The sequence below is a fragment of the Homo sapiens genome, chromosome 7 (genome assembly GCF_000001405.40).
Source record: "Homo sapiens chromosome 7, GRCh38.p14 Primary Assembly".
Taxonomy (NCBI): domain Eukaryota; kingdom Metazoa; phylum Chordata; class Mammalia; order Primates; family Hominidae; genus Homo; species Homo sapiens.
In genome coordinates this window covers 116,430,193-116,446,785 of record NC_000007.14, presented here as the reverse complement: position 1 = coordinate 116,446,785, position 16,593 = coordinate 116,430,193, and the positions used below count along the sequence as shown (strand labels likewise).

General features: G+C 37.2%; 1 long non-coding RNA gene across 5 annotated transcripts in view, besides 1 other annotated feature; it reads left to right on the top strand.

The window, feature by feature from the left end:
* CAV2-DT (CAV2 divergent transcript) overlaps window positions 1-16,593 on the top strand; it is an 83,411-nt gene that overhangs the window by 52,731 nt on the left and 14,087 nt on the right. For 3 of the 5 annotated variants that reach the window (NR_188010.1, NR_188011.1, NR_188013.1), the window contains one exon: window positions 13,428-13,610. The exons of the other annotated variants lie outside the window; for them this stretch is intronic. This is a non-coding gene — a long non-coding RNA (CAV2 divergent transcript). The remainder of the gene's footprint in view (window positions 1-13,427; window positions 13,611-16,593) is intronic. 5 annotated transcript variants of the gene reach the window in all.
* Window positions 3,109-4,308: an enhancer, noted in NCBI's record as "P300/CBP strongly-dependent group 1 enhancer chr7:116082532-116083731 (GRCh37/hg19 assembly coordinates)". NCBI's record gives its function as "activates an origin of replication core promoter dependent on BRD2, BRD4, P300/CBP, MED14 and CDK7 cofactors, with strong dependence on P300/CBP, by STARR-seq in HCT116 cells {active_cell/tissue: HCT116}" and the evidence as "EXISTENCE:reporter gene assay evidence [ECO:0000049][PMID:35650434]".

Genomic DNA, 16,593 nt, shown 5'->3' with positions numbered 1-16,593 from the left:
AATGGTGGTGAAGTGCCCTGCTGTCTTAGCTTCCTTAGCTTCAGGGTAAATCCCCCATCATCTCCCAGGGGAAAAAGTAGAAAATGTTCTGGGAGTCAGAGTTTGAGAAAAAAACTGCCATCTAGGAACTTTCCAGTACAGCTAGCAGTACAGAGTGTCAGTGCTGAAGGGAGACGTCATCAGAGGGAGACGTAAGGAGGGACAGGATCTTGAAGGATCTAACATAACTAGGACTTAGACGATCTTTCCTCCAGAATTCTATCTGAATATTACAGGAAACAACTGAGGTATTTTTTCTCTCTTTTAAAGAAATTTAATTGTGGTAAAATACACATAATAGAACAGTTGCCATCTTAACCATTTTTAAATGTACAATTCAGTAGAGTTAAGTATATTCATATTGTTGTGCAACCAATCTCCAGAACTCCTTTCATCTTCCAAGACGAACTCTATACCCATTAAACAACTCCCCATTCACGTTTCCTCCCAGCCTCTGGAGACCACCATTCTGCTTTCTGTTTCTATAAATTGACTCCTTTAGGTACCTCATATAAGTGGAATCATAGAGTATTTTTGTCTATAAAGCCAACCTCTCCAAGCTGCCTGATCTCAATGCATTCCATATGAACATTATTAAATCTTTCATTATTTGTCCTATTCTAAATATAGTTGATGTAAAGAAATGACTGAGTACTGTTGATTTCCGTTCTATTCCAAATTTTAATTAGAAAGTGTTTGTGAGAGTTTAAACAGCATAGTTTGTTCCCAGAATTTTATCTCTTTTGTATCTTTTGCCCTAGTGACAAATATGCAAGACTTGTTTCATTTATGACCTTGTATGGTAGCCCCTTTGGTATGGATTAATTTGTTTAATGAGATGTTTAAGAAAGACAGCTGGTTAACAAATTATTTCCTCTCATGTATTTCCAAATTTGCGTTACTTAAAAGATGGCCTTGGAAAAAGGTCCTCATGAGTTTGAGATTTTTCTAGTGAATGCCAAAAGAAGTCTTGTTTATGGCCTGATTCTTCAAGGACACAGTATCTTTTTGTTTAGTATGCATCATTTTCAATATGATTTTCATGGCTGTAAAGGGGAAGCACATTATTTTCGTGTATTAATAGAGGCACCAAGATAGAAACTGAGAAAGGTGTGAGAACGTCTGTTATGTTTTCTAGCATTTCATAGTATGAAACCTTAAGACTCACATTATTAGTTAAGCCTTTGTATAATAACAGAAACTCACCTTTTGCCAAAATTATTTAATTATATATTGTTCATACCTTAATTATTTGATGAATGGATAAGGACGACTAGAGGCAATACCGTGAAATGGAATTTTGGGGGCATCTTGCTTACTCTTCGTGTGTCTTACCCCTCAACTAGCATTCGGGTGACCTTATGATTTTTGCTTCCACCCCAAACACACCCTTCCCAGCTACACCCCATGGCGTGCATTGTACCTACGATGGTACAATGCCATCAGCCCTTCCACTTTTAGGAATAGTTCCATTCCAGGCATTGTCTGATGCCAGGAACCTGCCAGGGCAGAAACAGATATGTTGAATGTTAACGTTTGATAGTTGTTTAATGTGTTATTCCTCTAGGTGTATTTCTATTTTTGTATAATAATGCTTGGAAAGGAAATACATACCTCATTCTAACAGGGAACTTGCTATCTGAAATGAGGATATATTTTTGGCAGGAAGTAATTTTACTTATAATATTATATAGTCAACAAATAATTGCATGTATAGGATTAACTGTGTGTGGTGCTTTCAGAAACTTGGTTAGATGACATTAGAAAGGGTCTCAGAAAATAGTATATAATACATGTGCTTAGGACTCAAAAATAAGTAGAAAGAAAAAATTAAGTTACAAGTACTTCCATACTTTCTCCCTCTGACCACGTCTATAAGAGAAATCTGAATTTGTTAGCTTGGTCTTTGTAATTTCTAAGAGATATGTTGAATCTGCCATCTTGGTTCCTTGCTTTCTGTGCCATAAAATCAGAGAATGGGGAAAGGAGAAGCAAGGAAGGGGTATCTGCACTAGAAAGATTTATTCAAGGGGGAAAAAAGAAAGACTTGAGGAGAAAGCAAAAGAATGGAGAGAGGTGAGGAGCTATACAAATTTTGTTTGGAGACTGAATTTAGTGGGAATTGAGAGGAAAAGGGGGAGAGTCTGATATTTAAGACAGATGCAGGGTGCGGGAGATATGGAAAGGAATGGGATAAATGGAATTTTAAGAAGTGTTGCTGTAGGCAACGATTGGACAACCTTTAATATCTTTCAAAAATGCAAACAAATATTGAAATTTCTTTGTGTAACTGCATCATGTTTTGTTTTGTTTTTGTTTTTTGACTTTGTATTCTTCATCTCCAACTCGGAATCAGCCACGTCTCCAAAAATTCATGTGTACTCTTAGTGAATAATGGTACTTTGAAACTGAGATCTGGGTTCTAGATGTGCTATGCTACTGGAATGTCCTTGCTCTTTGCCCCTTCAGCATATACCTACGCTGAGTATTCTAGTGTGCCATAATAAAAGGATGATGCAAGGTACTTAAACTTGTCTTTTGGCTTTGGCATAATGTAGAGTGAGGAAAAGAGAAGTTGTTTTAAATATATGACTTATGACTTATGTATGCTGTTTATTTGTATCTTTCTATAGCTGTGCTGTCCAAAATGGCAGCCACAGCCACATATGGCTATCTAAATTTAAAATAAAAGTTCAGTCCCTCAGTTATACTAACCATATTCCAAGTACTCAGTTATGACATGTGGCAAGAGGCTACTGTACTGGGTAGAGAGTAATAGAATATTTCCATCATCAGAGAAAGCTCTATTGGATAGCACAGTTCGACAGAATGCTGCCTCGTAAGGCAGACAAGTATATTTATTGGGAATTGTGTTTGTTCAGCTGGTCTTCGGAAATCCACAGGTATAGAATTATCACCAACCAGAGCCTTAATTCAACAGACACTGATGTGTATCTTCTTTTGTCACATTGGCTATTTTTCCCATTCATATGACATACTATATAGATCACTGCTTTGTTCCTGTGAAATATCCCTGTGGTTTTAAAGACCCTAATAGTTTGAATGACTTCCACTTATTGCAGACTTCACTATGTTCCAGGCGCTGTGCTAAGCACTTTATTTGCACTATCTCACTTAATCTTTATAACAACTTTATGTTTTAGATTCAATTAGTATTTTATTTAATCTTTACCTCATTTATAACAACTTATAACAACTTTATGTCATATGTACTATTAATATCTCAATTTTACACGTGGGAAAAGCAACATGGAGAAGCTAGGTCACTGGTTCACAGTCCCACAATAGGTGAGGAGTGAAGCCAGAATTAATTGTGGAAGAGTAAAGGTAGTGGAAGAATATGTATTTTTGATACTCCCTATGGGAAGCTTTCCAAATACTAAAACTTGGAAAAGGCATTGTTTTACTTTCATGAACAGAAATGCACCACAAAAAATTACACAGGCATTAGTCACACCTTTTTAGATTTCAGTTATGCATCATGCCTTAGTCACACAAATTCCTGATCTGGGAGTGTTTGTGGAAAAATGTTTATGCCCCCTCCCTCCTTCACCTCTCTCAGATACCAAACTTCCTTTCAAATTCCCAGCTTCTCAATAACAGAGTATCTTCCTAATTCTGGCTCAGCATCACTTTCCACACCTAGGACCCCAACACACATTCTTTACTCTTTTAACAATATAATAAAAAACTATTTAAAGATAATTTACATGTTAATGTCTCATACTAAATATGCATATCCATGTTTTAAAATTGTTTATTCTAAATAGAAGAATTTCTTGGGCAAATGTATATATTCTTTCCTTTAGAAGGTTTCACATTTTTTATTGGCATGTATTGATTTTACTTTTTGCATTGACTGTTCCTCTACCATTACACTTTCTTGTACTCCTTAACATTATATAAAAAGTATTTCAATGGTTTCTGAGCTCTTACATTTAACAGTGGAGTAGAGGTTTTCTTTCCTAAAGAAGTGACCCATCCGGGCCGGGTGCGATGGCTCACGCCTGTAATCCCAGCACTCTGGAAGGCCGAGGCGGGCGGATCGCGAGGTCAGGAGATAGAGACCATCCTGGCTAACACGGTGAAAGCCAGTCTCTGCTAAAAAATAGCTGGGCATGATGGCGGCCGCCTGTAGTCCCAGCTACTCCGGAGGCTGAGGCAGGGGAATGGCGTGAACCCTGGAGGCGGAGCTTGCAGTGAGCCGAGATCGCGCCACTGCACTCCGGCCTGGGCGACAGAGCGAGACTCCGTCTCAAAAAAAAAAAAAAAAAGAAAAAAAGAAGTGACCCATCCGTGAGGAAGCATAGTGGTCAGAGTCCTGAAGCTCAGCGCACAGAATCACTTTCTTGCTGTTTTCTACCCTTCAAATATTGCACTTTCTCCCTATCATAAAATCTGCCTTGGTGGCATCACCAGCTCAGGCTTCATCAGACCTGTTTGGAAACAGGTTAGACTGAACTGACTGCCTAAAGCTCCTTCAGATCTATATTTGTAATAAAGATTAACGTCTGAAAAACATATTTTGCCCAGCAAAGGCAAGCATCACAATATTATTGTGACATGTTTTTTCTTAGATGTTGAAGAAAAAAAGTTTTAAAAGATCCAGAAAGATATTTATAAAAAGAATTTAATAAAATTTCAGAGAATACTAAAAAAATTAGGCATAGTTAGAAATAAAAGTAAAAGAACAAAGATTTTACTGTGGCCTTTGGCCTCAACTAAAAAAAGTGAACTTGCCCTCTTCAAAATGCTCTTCACTTATTATATAGTCGTCATATAAAAGAAAAAAGACTGCAGGGAGATTCCATAGGTTCAAATCACTGAACTCTATATTTAGAGACAAAAACAGGAGAACTCTCATAATTCCAACACGAACCAGAAGTACAATAGTTTTAGAATCACCCAAATTTCCTTTGATATTCAGCTACACGGAGATCTGAAAGAATTTTCCGATCTTACTTATTTTGGAGCTGCAGCTGGATAATTAAACACATGTGGCAGAAACAGGAAGGCCTCATTTCCTCAACATTTTCCCACTCTGCTCTTTAAAGGGAGTATGAAAATATTTTTGTAAAAGGATGGGATTCCCTGGGTTTCCTAATAGTTGAAATGAGTTAGTCTACACTAAAGTGTTACGCTTCTCCCCTCTGGGTAGAGTACCTGTTTCTGTTAATTCAGTTTTCTTTTTTTAATTTAAAGAAATTCTTGGTAATTACTTATTGAGTAAGCATATTAATATGTAAAATGTAGTAGATTATTGTGAGATCACAGTAGGTCCATTATTAGCTATTGAAAGACTCAGAGGAAAAATTAAACAAAAATTAATCACTAATTACCTTCTATTTAGAAGTGGATTTCTACTTCAAAGTAGCATCACCTAACTTAGGAGAATTTATGACTTGTTTTTCATTTTACTTCTTTGCATTTTCAATTTTGCTAATGATGAATTTTTGATATTTGTGTGATAAAAAAGGAGGAAGAACAAGAAAATAAAGCATTTGCCTAATCCATTTTGCTCATGAGTCAAGGAGGGCAGGAGCTAACCCAAGGGCTTCAGTCTGGCCTTCAATACATCATTCTCTCTCATAGATAGGGTTTTTGCCATTTTCATCACCATCTAGATCAGTGTTGTCCAACAGAACTTTCTGTGATGATAGAGACATTCAGTATTTGTGCTGCCCAATACTCTAGCCACTAGCCACATGTGGCTATTGGCTATTGCACATTCTATAATGTAGCTAATTTGACAGAGGAACTGAATTTTAAATTTATTAATTTTTAATTAATTAAGATTTGTATGTCATGTATGGCTAGTGGCTTCCATATTGGGCAATGCAGACCTGGATTTATCCAAAACAAAAATCAGTCTCGAGCATCTAAAAAGTGTACCACAATTTGTGATTACACAAAACTGCATTTATTTACATATTTATTTAGACACTATAAGATACTAAGATTCTTACAGGATTTCATTGCATTACTCTTAATTACTCTTTAACTAATAGTGTCACAATGCAATTCTAGCTTACCTTTGACAAGTATGGCGTTTGATTTTACATGCCTCAGTATATTCATTTGTAAAATGAAGACTAAAATGAGTGCCTACTTCACAATGTTTTTATGAAAATTCAAGGAGTGAACACATATCAAGTGCTTCAGAAAGTGCCTGGTTCATGGAAAGTACTATGTAAGTGTAAGCTAGTATTACTAAAACAACTAGGCATTTGAATTTATGAGTAGAGGCCCTTTAATCATTATTATTATTTCTGGTAGGTGCAGTGAGTTTTAAAAAATCATAAGAGAGAGAGTCAGGGAGAGATAAGGGCTGAACATTGAGAAGTGGCTGAGGTCATGGGGAATAGACTAGGCTATGAATAGAATTCATGCTACTCCCAGAAGGCCAGTGGACATTGTTCCAAGACATATTTTGACATATTTGGCTAGTAGGTTGGTTTGTATTTTTTGATGTTAAGGAAAGGGGGTCGGCGGTGGTAGGAGAGAAACAGCAGTCTAAATTGCTAGTCATCTATCAATTTTTTAAAGTAAGTTTCATGAAGACAGAGAACATATCACGTATCATGTATCTCCAGCACCCTGTGCATTGTTGGTAATCTACAAATATTCACTGGATGAATAAATAGAAAGACTTTTAAAAGAAGCAGGACATTGTGGAGAGTGTGGCCTCATGCGTTGGTCTGAACATTGTACTACATGACCTTTAAGGTCTTCCAACTCTAAGATTACATGATTTCATGTATAAACAACACTTGATATTTTAGTTCCAGCCAAAATGTCTAGATATGAAGCTAATGTAATTTCCTAGGACTCTAAGCATTATTTGCTATAGCCACATAAGAAGTAGTGTTTGATTTAAACAAAATTAACATAAACGTGCTAGCTGACTTTAATATGGAATCCTGTTTCAGGATCAAAATGCATCAACAGATTCTGGTGTTAGTTCAGTGTTTTGCTTTTTCTTATCTTTTGGAACTGTCTAAAAAATAAATTAGATGTTTCTAGTGATCTGAATCAGTTAACAGAAAATCGGTAATGGAAATTTGCTTTGGGATACATTTCACACTCTTTAATACATGCTTCCTTTATCCATTGCTCCCTGTGAGGAGACACCCAAGCCTCTCAAGTTTCTTCTGCTACCCTGTGGGACCAACACTTATTTGACAAAAATCTCTTCCACAGTATCTATCATGGCAGGTCTGAATTTAACATGGCTTATGTGGTCTTCCAGGATCTGAGCTCTGCCAGTCCCTGTGACTTTGTGCACAGGCAGGGCTGTGCTGGGACACCTTGTGTTTTCTGAATCAGTCTTCCATCCTGGTCACACCTCTGCCACTACACCTGTCACAATCCCTCTTCTCTTCATTGAGAGCCATTTATTCCCCTCTACCTAATACCAACATGCCTGACAAACTCCATATCTTCCTGGAACACATCTTTAACCTCTCCTTGTTTTATTGCTCCCATCTACCAGATGTTTCACGGTATGATAACACTTATCACAGTGTCAGCTAGTTGTACATTTCTTCCTGTATGGGACTGCTGAACATTTTAATGGGAGGGGATGTGACTTAGTTATGGAACTCAGATGGCCACTCTAATAAGGATGTCATGAGGGTAGAGATTGGGTGTCTTCTGTTTACTTCTGTAAACTAAAAGCTTTAGAATACTATCTGGCTCACTGCAGTTGTTATTAAATGAATCTATACATCCAATATCTTTCATATAAGAGGGATTTAATATTTGGTGAATTGACCAAGTGGTTCAGAAGTTCTAGGTTCAGTTCTAGATCTACTGGCAGTCAATTCTTGATCTTAAGAGTTAACCTGGCTATGAAGTTTGTACTGAAATTTGCAAGTGGAAATATTGTATCATAGGCTTTACATAACATAATTATAAATAATTGATTGACAGATAGACTCTTCAGGACTAAAAGGACCTTGAGAAAGGCTGCCTCTTATTGGGGGATTGACAATGTGCTGGACACTGTTCTGGGCACTTTATGCTATTAATCCATTTAAAAAAATTCATTGTTACTAACTCATAGTATTGTGATATAAACATTATTATCCCTATTTTGCAGAGATGACACCAAGGCACAAATCTAAATGACTCCCTATGATCACATAGGTAGAGGGGTGTGGAACTGGGAGTTGGCCCAGGCTGTGTGGTTCCAAAGTCCTTTCTCTTAATCTCCATCTTAGCTGTACTTTTGTGATATCTTTAGCCGTTTTCTATGTCAACCACTTCCACCTAGTGGAAATGCTGGAATTTATAGGAAGGCCAATAAATCCTAGTTGAGCTGGGCTCAACCTCCCACAGCCCCCTCTTTCTCCAGATGTCTGCCTCATCCTCAGTTGGATGGAGAATCTGGTAGGAAGTCGGCTGTATTGCTCCAGGTGTCACCATCCAGTGGAAGAAATGGTGTCTTCAGTTGTTCCCCAGAGGAGAAAGCTTGTTTCAAAGGAGTGCCTACAAATATCTCCTCCTGTCTCACAGAAGTCATATACACTAAAAATTTGGCCATATACCCTACCAATGGCCAATGAATGTGCTTGTGCAGATCTGTTTATGCCTGAGCTGCCTGCGTCCCTTGTAGATCCAGTGATTGGAGTCAGCTTTCCCTGAGGCATATGAGCTCTTCATGGGACATGTGAACAAGAAAACGGAGGGTGATTGTTACCAAGAGATGGCAGAGAAGGTGGTAGGCCGGGAACTCCAATGCTCACTGTACTCATCACAAATTTGGTTAGAAATCAGTTTATCTTTGAGCCATAAACTTCAAAATCATATTCTAACAATCTCTTTAAAGTACCTTTTAAAACCATGTCTTATTGGAACTCTTCAGGGAAAACAATAAGACTACTAAGAAATTGGAATATTTTCATTAATTGTGAAAGAGAAAATTATTTGAAAATAGAACTGATAATTATCTGGCATATATTAATACTTCATAATTATAAAAACAGTATAATAAACTACAATGTAAAATGGTCTGCAGCATGGCTTACTACTCTAGATTTAATTTTTAATTCCATTCTGAGTCCATATGTAACTTAATGTGATTGAAAATTTTTCTGAAAAATGACTAGGACGTATTGCAGAATGTCGGCTAATTAGCCCATTGCAATCTCAGTTATCTGTTTCACTAAAATCGCGTATGCCACGTTTAATCCTGATCTCAAAGTTAACTCCAATAGACATTAATTCATCTGTTCATTTATTTAATAAGCCCTGAATTATTGAGGGCCAAGCACTTGGGGATAGAGAGGTGATTATTTGTCAGTCTTTGTTGTATTTGAATTCTCCATGGGTTCTTAGGATTCCTTTCTTTCTTTTTTCTTTCCAACTTTAATTTTACATTCAAGGGTTACATGTGCAAGTTTGTTACATGGGTAAATTGCATGTCAAAGAGGTTTGGTGTACAGATAGTTTTGTCACCCAGGTAATCAGCATAATACCTGATTGGTAGTTTTTTCAATCTTCACCCTCCTTCCACCCTCCACCCTCAAACAGACCCCAGTGTCTATTATTCCCTTCTTTGTGTCCATGTGTACTTAATGTGTAGCTCCCACTTATAAGTGAGATCATGAGGTATTTGGTTTTCTGTTTCCATATTAATTCACATAGGATAATGACCTCCAGCTCCATCCATATTGCTGCAAAGACCATGATCTCATGTATTTTATAGCTACGTAGTATTCCACAGTATGTATGTATATATATATATATATATATGTGTATATATATATATATGTGTGTGTGTGTATATATATGTGTGTGTGTGTGTGTGTGTGTGTGTGTGTGTGTATCACATTTTCTTTATCCAGTCCACTGTTGATGGGCATCTTGGTTGATTTAATGTCTTTGCTCTTGTGAATAGTGTTGTGATGGATGTACAAGTGCATGTGTCTTTTTGGTAGCAAAATTTATTTTCCTCTGGGTATATACCCAGTAGTGGGATTGCTGGGTTGAATGGTAATTCTGTTTTAAATTCTCTGAGAAATCTCCAAATGCTTTCCACAGTGGCTAAACGTATTTACATTCCCACCAGCAGTGTATAAGCATTCTCTTTTCTCCACAATCTTGGCAGCATCTGTTATTTTTTGACTTTTTAATAATAGCCATTCTGACTGGTGTGAGATAGTATCTCATTGTGGTTTTGATTTGCATTTCCCTAATAATTGGTTATATTGAGCATTTTTTTATACGCTTGTTGGCCGTGTCTGTGTCTTTTGAGAAGTGCCTGTTCTTCGTTGCCCACTTGTCAATGGGGTTGTTAGGTTTTTGGTTGTTGACTTGAGTTTCTTATAGATTCGGGATATTAGACCTTTGTCAGGTGCATAGTTCACAAATATTTTCTCCCATTTTCTAGGGTATCTATTTACTCTGTTGATAGTTTATTTTGCTGTGCAGAAACTGTTTAGTTTAATTAGGTCCCAGTAGTCAATTTTTGTTTTTGTTGCAATTATTTTGGAGCCTTTTTCATGAAATCTTAGCCTGGGTCAATATCCAGAATGGTATTTCTAGGGTTTTTATAGTTTTAGGTTTTACATTTAAGGAGTCCTTTCCACATTTCTTGTTTTTGTCAGCTTTTTTGAGAATCAGATGGTTGTATGTGTGAGGCTTTATTTCTGGGTTATCTAACCTGCTCCATTGGTCTATGTGTTTTTGAACCAGTACCATGCTGTTTTAGTTACTATATCCCTGTAGTATAGTTTGAAGTTTGGTAGTGTGATGCCTCCAGTTTTTTTCTTTTTACTTAGGATTGCTTTGGCTATTCAGGCTCTTTTTTGGTTCCAAATGAATATTAGAATGTTTCCTTCTAATTCTGTAAACAATGTCACTGGTAGTTTAATAGGAATAGCATTGAATCTATAAATTGCTTTGGGCATTTTAATGATTTTGATTCTTCCTATTCACAATAGTCACAAAAAGAATAAAATATCTAGAAATACAGCTAACAGGGAGGTTAAAGATCTCTACAATAAGAATTACAAAACATTACTGGCCAGGCACGATGGCTTGCACCTGTAATCCCAACACTTTAGGAGGCCAAGGCGGGCAGATTGCCTGAGGTCAGGAGTTTGAAACCAGCCTGGCCAACATGGTGAAACTCCATCTCTACCAAAAAATACAAAAATTAGCAGGATGTGGTGGCACATGCCTGTAATTCCAGCTACTCGGGAGGCTGAAGCAGCAGAATTGCTTGAACCTGGGAGGTGGAGGTTGCAGTGAGCTGAGATCGTGCCACTGCACTGCAGCCTGGGTGACAGAGTGAGACTCCAATTGAAAAAAAAAGAAAAAGAAAAAAAGAAAAAATTATTGAAAAAAATCAGAGATGACAAAATGAATGGAAAACATTCCATGCTTATGAATAGAATTTCTTTCCTGAGAGTTTTTCTCCTAATTCTGCCCCTCCCTCCCTAAACTGAGACTTCTTACTTCCTGCCGACAGAGCAAATTTTATAAAACTCAAATTCAATTATATGGTATTTCTGCTTACATAACTTTAATAACTTCCTGATACCTACAGGAAAATATTCAAAATTCTTAGAATGTCTTAAAAATGCTTTCACAAGATGGTCTTGTCTTAAACTTCCCAACCACATCTTGGGACACTTCACACATACACTCCTGAACTTGCCATACTGAACTTCTTTCTCCCTGTGTGGTAAACAGGATTTTTTGTTTTAATGTCATGCCTTTGTACATTCTGATCCTTATTTCTGGGATATCCTCTTCTACTCTTCTCCACCTACCTAAATCCTATTCATGCCTCAAGAACCAGCTCATACATTAGTCACTCTGTGGCTACTTCTGTAAGACTGTTAGGCAGAGTTATTAATACTTGTCTTTATTATATTCCCATAAAATTTTATGTGACTCTATTTCTGTACTTAACACATTGGCTTGTAATTTTTTACATGCCTCTTTCATGAAGAAAGAGATGCGATTTGTCTTTGTAATACCTCAGCCTAGGCACATGGTACCCAACGAATACTTTCTGAGTTATCATTTATCAATGCACCAATCTGAAACAATACATTGACCACTGAGCATTTTCTTTTATTGTTTCAAACAAAAAGTTACTGAGTGCTTTCTCTGGGCCAGGTACCGAGTTAGTATGGCATAGAGGCTTTGCTGTATTTGAAATAATTCAGGTGTTTGTTGGAAAGTTTGATGTTTATTTTGGCTTTGGTGACCTTCTATGGCATATCAAAGTGAGAACTGTCATTGCCAGAAGTTGATTGTGTGCTATTATTTTTCTTCCTGTACATAGAAATTTCTTGATAAGGCAAATGTGATTTGATATCCTTCCAATATCACCATTAAGATGATGGCAGTCCAGTACTGAAATATTTGACATTGCCCTCTTTTTTCTCAGGTAATTTCACGCCTCTCATGCAGTTAAATATAACAAACAAATAAAACAAAGTGATGTTTTAAAAGTTCATTGAAGCACAAGCTCTGGGATCCTAACTTCTAATTCTAAATCCATCAAGGCATGCTGCCTTTGTTCATGAATATTCTTATTTTAAATATGCACAAAACATGAAAAACTTATGTCATTTCCCCATCATGAAAATAATACATTATTAACACCACAGTGAAAAATTGTCAGGTGATATTTCAGAATTGATTCAATTATTTCCAGTTACTATGGAAGGTATTAATCTTCCTTCTAATTAATAATTTTAGAAGCAGAATTGGACCTTCTTTTTAAATTTCCAAGCAGTGCTTTGTTGCGAATGGCTTTCTCACAAAGAAGGGTTTTGATTTTTCCTTCTGTATAGTTACTTGTTCTTTGCCTCAAGGATGAATATATTTCATCAAAGCATAGAGAAATGCTATTCTTACCAAATGATTATTCCATCAAATAAAATTAGGACAACACATACTATGCATTTAGAGAAATTGGGTTTTTGAAACAACCCAAAGCTAGGTTAATGCTGGATAGTCATTTCACAAATAATGTAATATTGCTGTAAGCATTAGCAGGTCTAAGCAGGGTGGTCTGAATTTTGATGTTAAGAAGACAGAATTTATCTTCCACATCTTCAGTGAATAAACATGAAGTCCAGTACATGTTGAGTTTTGTGTTTCTTAGTTTTGAACATTAGAGAACTAGGGTGTGACATTTTGTGGTCTCTCTTTCAAGTCCTGAGGAATGTAGTTTTGCAGTACAAAGTGGAGAATTAGGCAATGAAAAACAGAATGCAACAGACATAATTGTTTTAATATGTCACTGCCAACTGTCATTGGCCCTAGTGGGAGGACTCAGATGGCACCCCTGTCTCTAAGGATTGGCTGGGGATCTTCACATTTCATCCATCATTTCATCACAGATCATCTCAGCCTCTCCTGAACTGTGACCAACTGGCTTACTCAAGGGACTGGATCTGCTGTCCCGACATGATGGCAAGCTGCAGCACATCATGCAGATTAAAGTTCAGCCTGCCTCAGACTCAGGATAAAAACACATTTGGGACAGTCTCGCTCAGCCTCATTGCAGAGACAAGAAATGTATGGTAAGATGGCATACGGAGTATTAATTTGTTCAAAATGCTAACTGATGTGAACTTACCATTTTCCTGTTGAACTGCCACCATCTCCCTCATGGGTAGTGGGGAAGGGAGCCCCTGCTGCTGAGGAGGAGTCCACTGGTGAGAACAAGGAGCCGTATTCTTAGCTTCCTCAGTCAAAAGACATCTTGGTACGAGACCATAACGATTTGATGTAGGCCCACTGCCAAAGAGAATATGTGTGTCTTTCTGCACTTGCTCTTTAGCAAAAGGCCAAGAAGCAGTAAGTTTCTCTTTGTGAATTTCATACTGGATAAAATGATTTCATAGGAATGGAGAGCTTAGAAAATAAGTAAGTTAGAAGCATTGTAGGGACCACGTGTTATGCCACTCCCTCACATTGGGAGTCTGGAGTGTGTGTGTGTGTGTGTGTGTGTGTGAGTAGGACATGATACAACTAACTTTAAGTGGGAGTATGCGAATCAGTCATCTCATGTCCTGCCACTCATCTTGAATCTTGGAAGTTAGGAGGCTCATATGACACAGGGACAGTGGAATGGGAGAATCCACATCTGAGAGAAGTGGCAGTTTGGCCAAGAGGTCTTGGGACTGGGAAAGTAGTAAGCAGAGAAGTGAGTGCACTGTGTCAGCAGTGGGTTAGGATTGGCACTGCTGCAATCCAGGTGGGTGGCAAAAGAGAACCCAGCCACTTCCAATTGCCCTGTGAGGGTATCATATGCTTCACACATGCCATCTAGCTCCACACGAGTCAAGTGACATCATTAAAAGGATGTCCGCATAGGATGGAGACAGAGGGAGACTGAAAGACTCCCTGCTCTACGACCACTGCAGAGTGGCAGTTCTTTTAGTACCACCCATTCTCTGGATCCCAGGAGTGTGGGTTAGGGCTAAAACAAGAGTACATGAATAAATACAAAATTAGGCTTAACTAAAAAGGAATCAGTGAATTGAATGGAGGAAAATGGAAATGGACTAAATTCAGATTTTTAAAATAGTATGCAAAATGAGAGCTCATGATAGATAATTCATTTGTTAGAAGAAATAGTTTTACTTCAGCATCTCTGAGAATTTTGTGGAGGATTGTATAAAACATGCACAACGCACATGTGGAACAATAATCAGGAGACAGCAAGATGGTAATTATGAGTGTGGATACAGTCATGTATTGCTTCACTGTGGGGGTATGTTCTGAGAAATGCATCATTAGGCGACTTTGTCATGCAAACATCATAGAATGTACTTACACAAACCTAGATGTTATAGCCTACTACACATCTAGGCTTCGTGGTATAGCCTAGTGCTCCTACACTACAAACCTGCACAGCATGTTACTGTGCTGAATACTGTAGGCAACTGTAACACAATAGTAAGTATTTGTGTCCTTAAACGTATCTAAATAGAGAAAAGGTAAAATAAAAATAGGGTATAAAAGATAAAAAATGATACACTTATAAAGGGCTATACTACTGTAGACTTTATAAACTCTGTAGAGTTAGCCTATACTAAAAAAGTTTTTTATCTTCAATAATAAATTAACTTTAGCTTATTGTAACTTTTTTACTTTATAAATTAAAAAATTTTTTTAATTTGATTTTACTCTTTTGTAATAACACTTAGCTTAAAAAACACATTGTAAAGCTGTACAAAAATATTTTCTCTCTGTAAATCCTTATTCTATAAGCTAAAAAGCTTATTTACTATTTCTAAAAGTTTTAATTTTATTTTTACTTTTTAAACTTTTTGTTAAAGGCACAAGCATACACATTAAGCTAGGCCTAGACACAGTCAGGATCATCAATATCACTGTCTTCCTCCTCCACATCTTGTCCTATTGGAAGGTCTTCAGGGCAATAACATGCATGGAGTTGTCATTTTTTGTGATAACAATGCCTTCCGGAATATCTCTTGAAGGACCTACAGGACCTGCCTGAGGCTATTTTACAGTTAACTTTTTTTATAAATAAGTAGAAGGAGTACATTCTAAAACAATGATTAAAAAGCATAGTAAATACATAAGGCGGTAGCATTGTAGTTTATTATCATTATCAAGCATTACTACCTATATAATTGTATGTGCTAGACTTTTATATGACTGGCAGCACAGTAGGTTTGTTTACACCAGCATCACCACATCCACGTGTGTAATGTGTTGCACGATGACGTTACCACAGCTATGATGTTACTAGGCAATAGTAATTTTCTAGCTCTATTATAATCTTATGGGACCATCATCTTCTATGCCATCTGTCATTGCCTGGAATGTTATTATGTGGAACATGACTGTAAATGTATATATACCTATACATATATATGCATACAAACATATGCATATATGAGCACACATGTATATATATTCAGAATAATCTGTTTTTGAATGCAAGAATTTTGTGAAATTCATGAATTCATGTCAGAAATGTAGTCATGATCCGATTATATTGAGGACATTTTTAAGGTGCATATTTGTAAAACTGTATTTAATATAGTGGAGCCAGTTATAAGCCACTTAAGTCCCTTTCCTTTCCCATGCGTTTGCTGAAACAGGAGGTGGTTTTTTTCTTTCTCTCTGTTTTTTTTTTTTTTTTTTTTTTTTTGCAGTGTTTTTTCCTCCATGATGCAGGTTGGTAAGCATATGTGTTGGGACCTGGTGAGACAAAGAGAGAGAGAGAGGGAAACAGAGAGAGAGAGTGAGAGAGAAAGAGAGAGAGACAGGGAGAGAGAGAGAGAGAAAGAGAGAGAAAAACAGAGAGAGAGAGAGTGAGAGAGAAAGAGAGAGAGAGAGAGACAGGGAGAGAGAGAGAGAGAGAAAGAGAGAGAAAAACAGAGAGAGAGAGAGGGAGAGAGAACCAGAGAGTCAGAGAGACATAGAGATAGAGAGGTCCCAGGAGCAGCAGAAGCCCTCAAGCCCTAAAAGGAAGTCACTAACAGTCTCTGCTCTGCAGTTGGCCTGGTAGCATAGGCCACCCTTCCT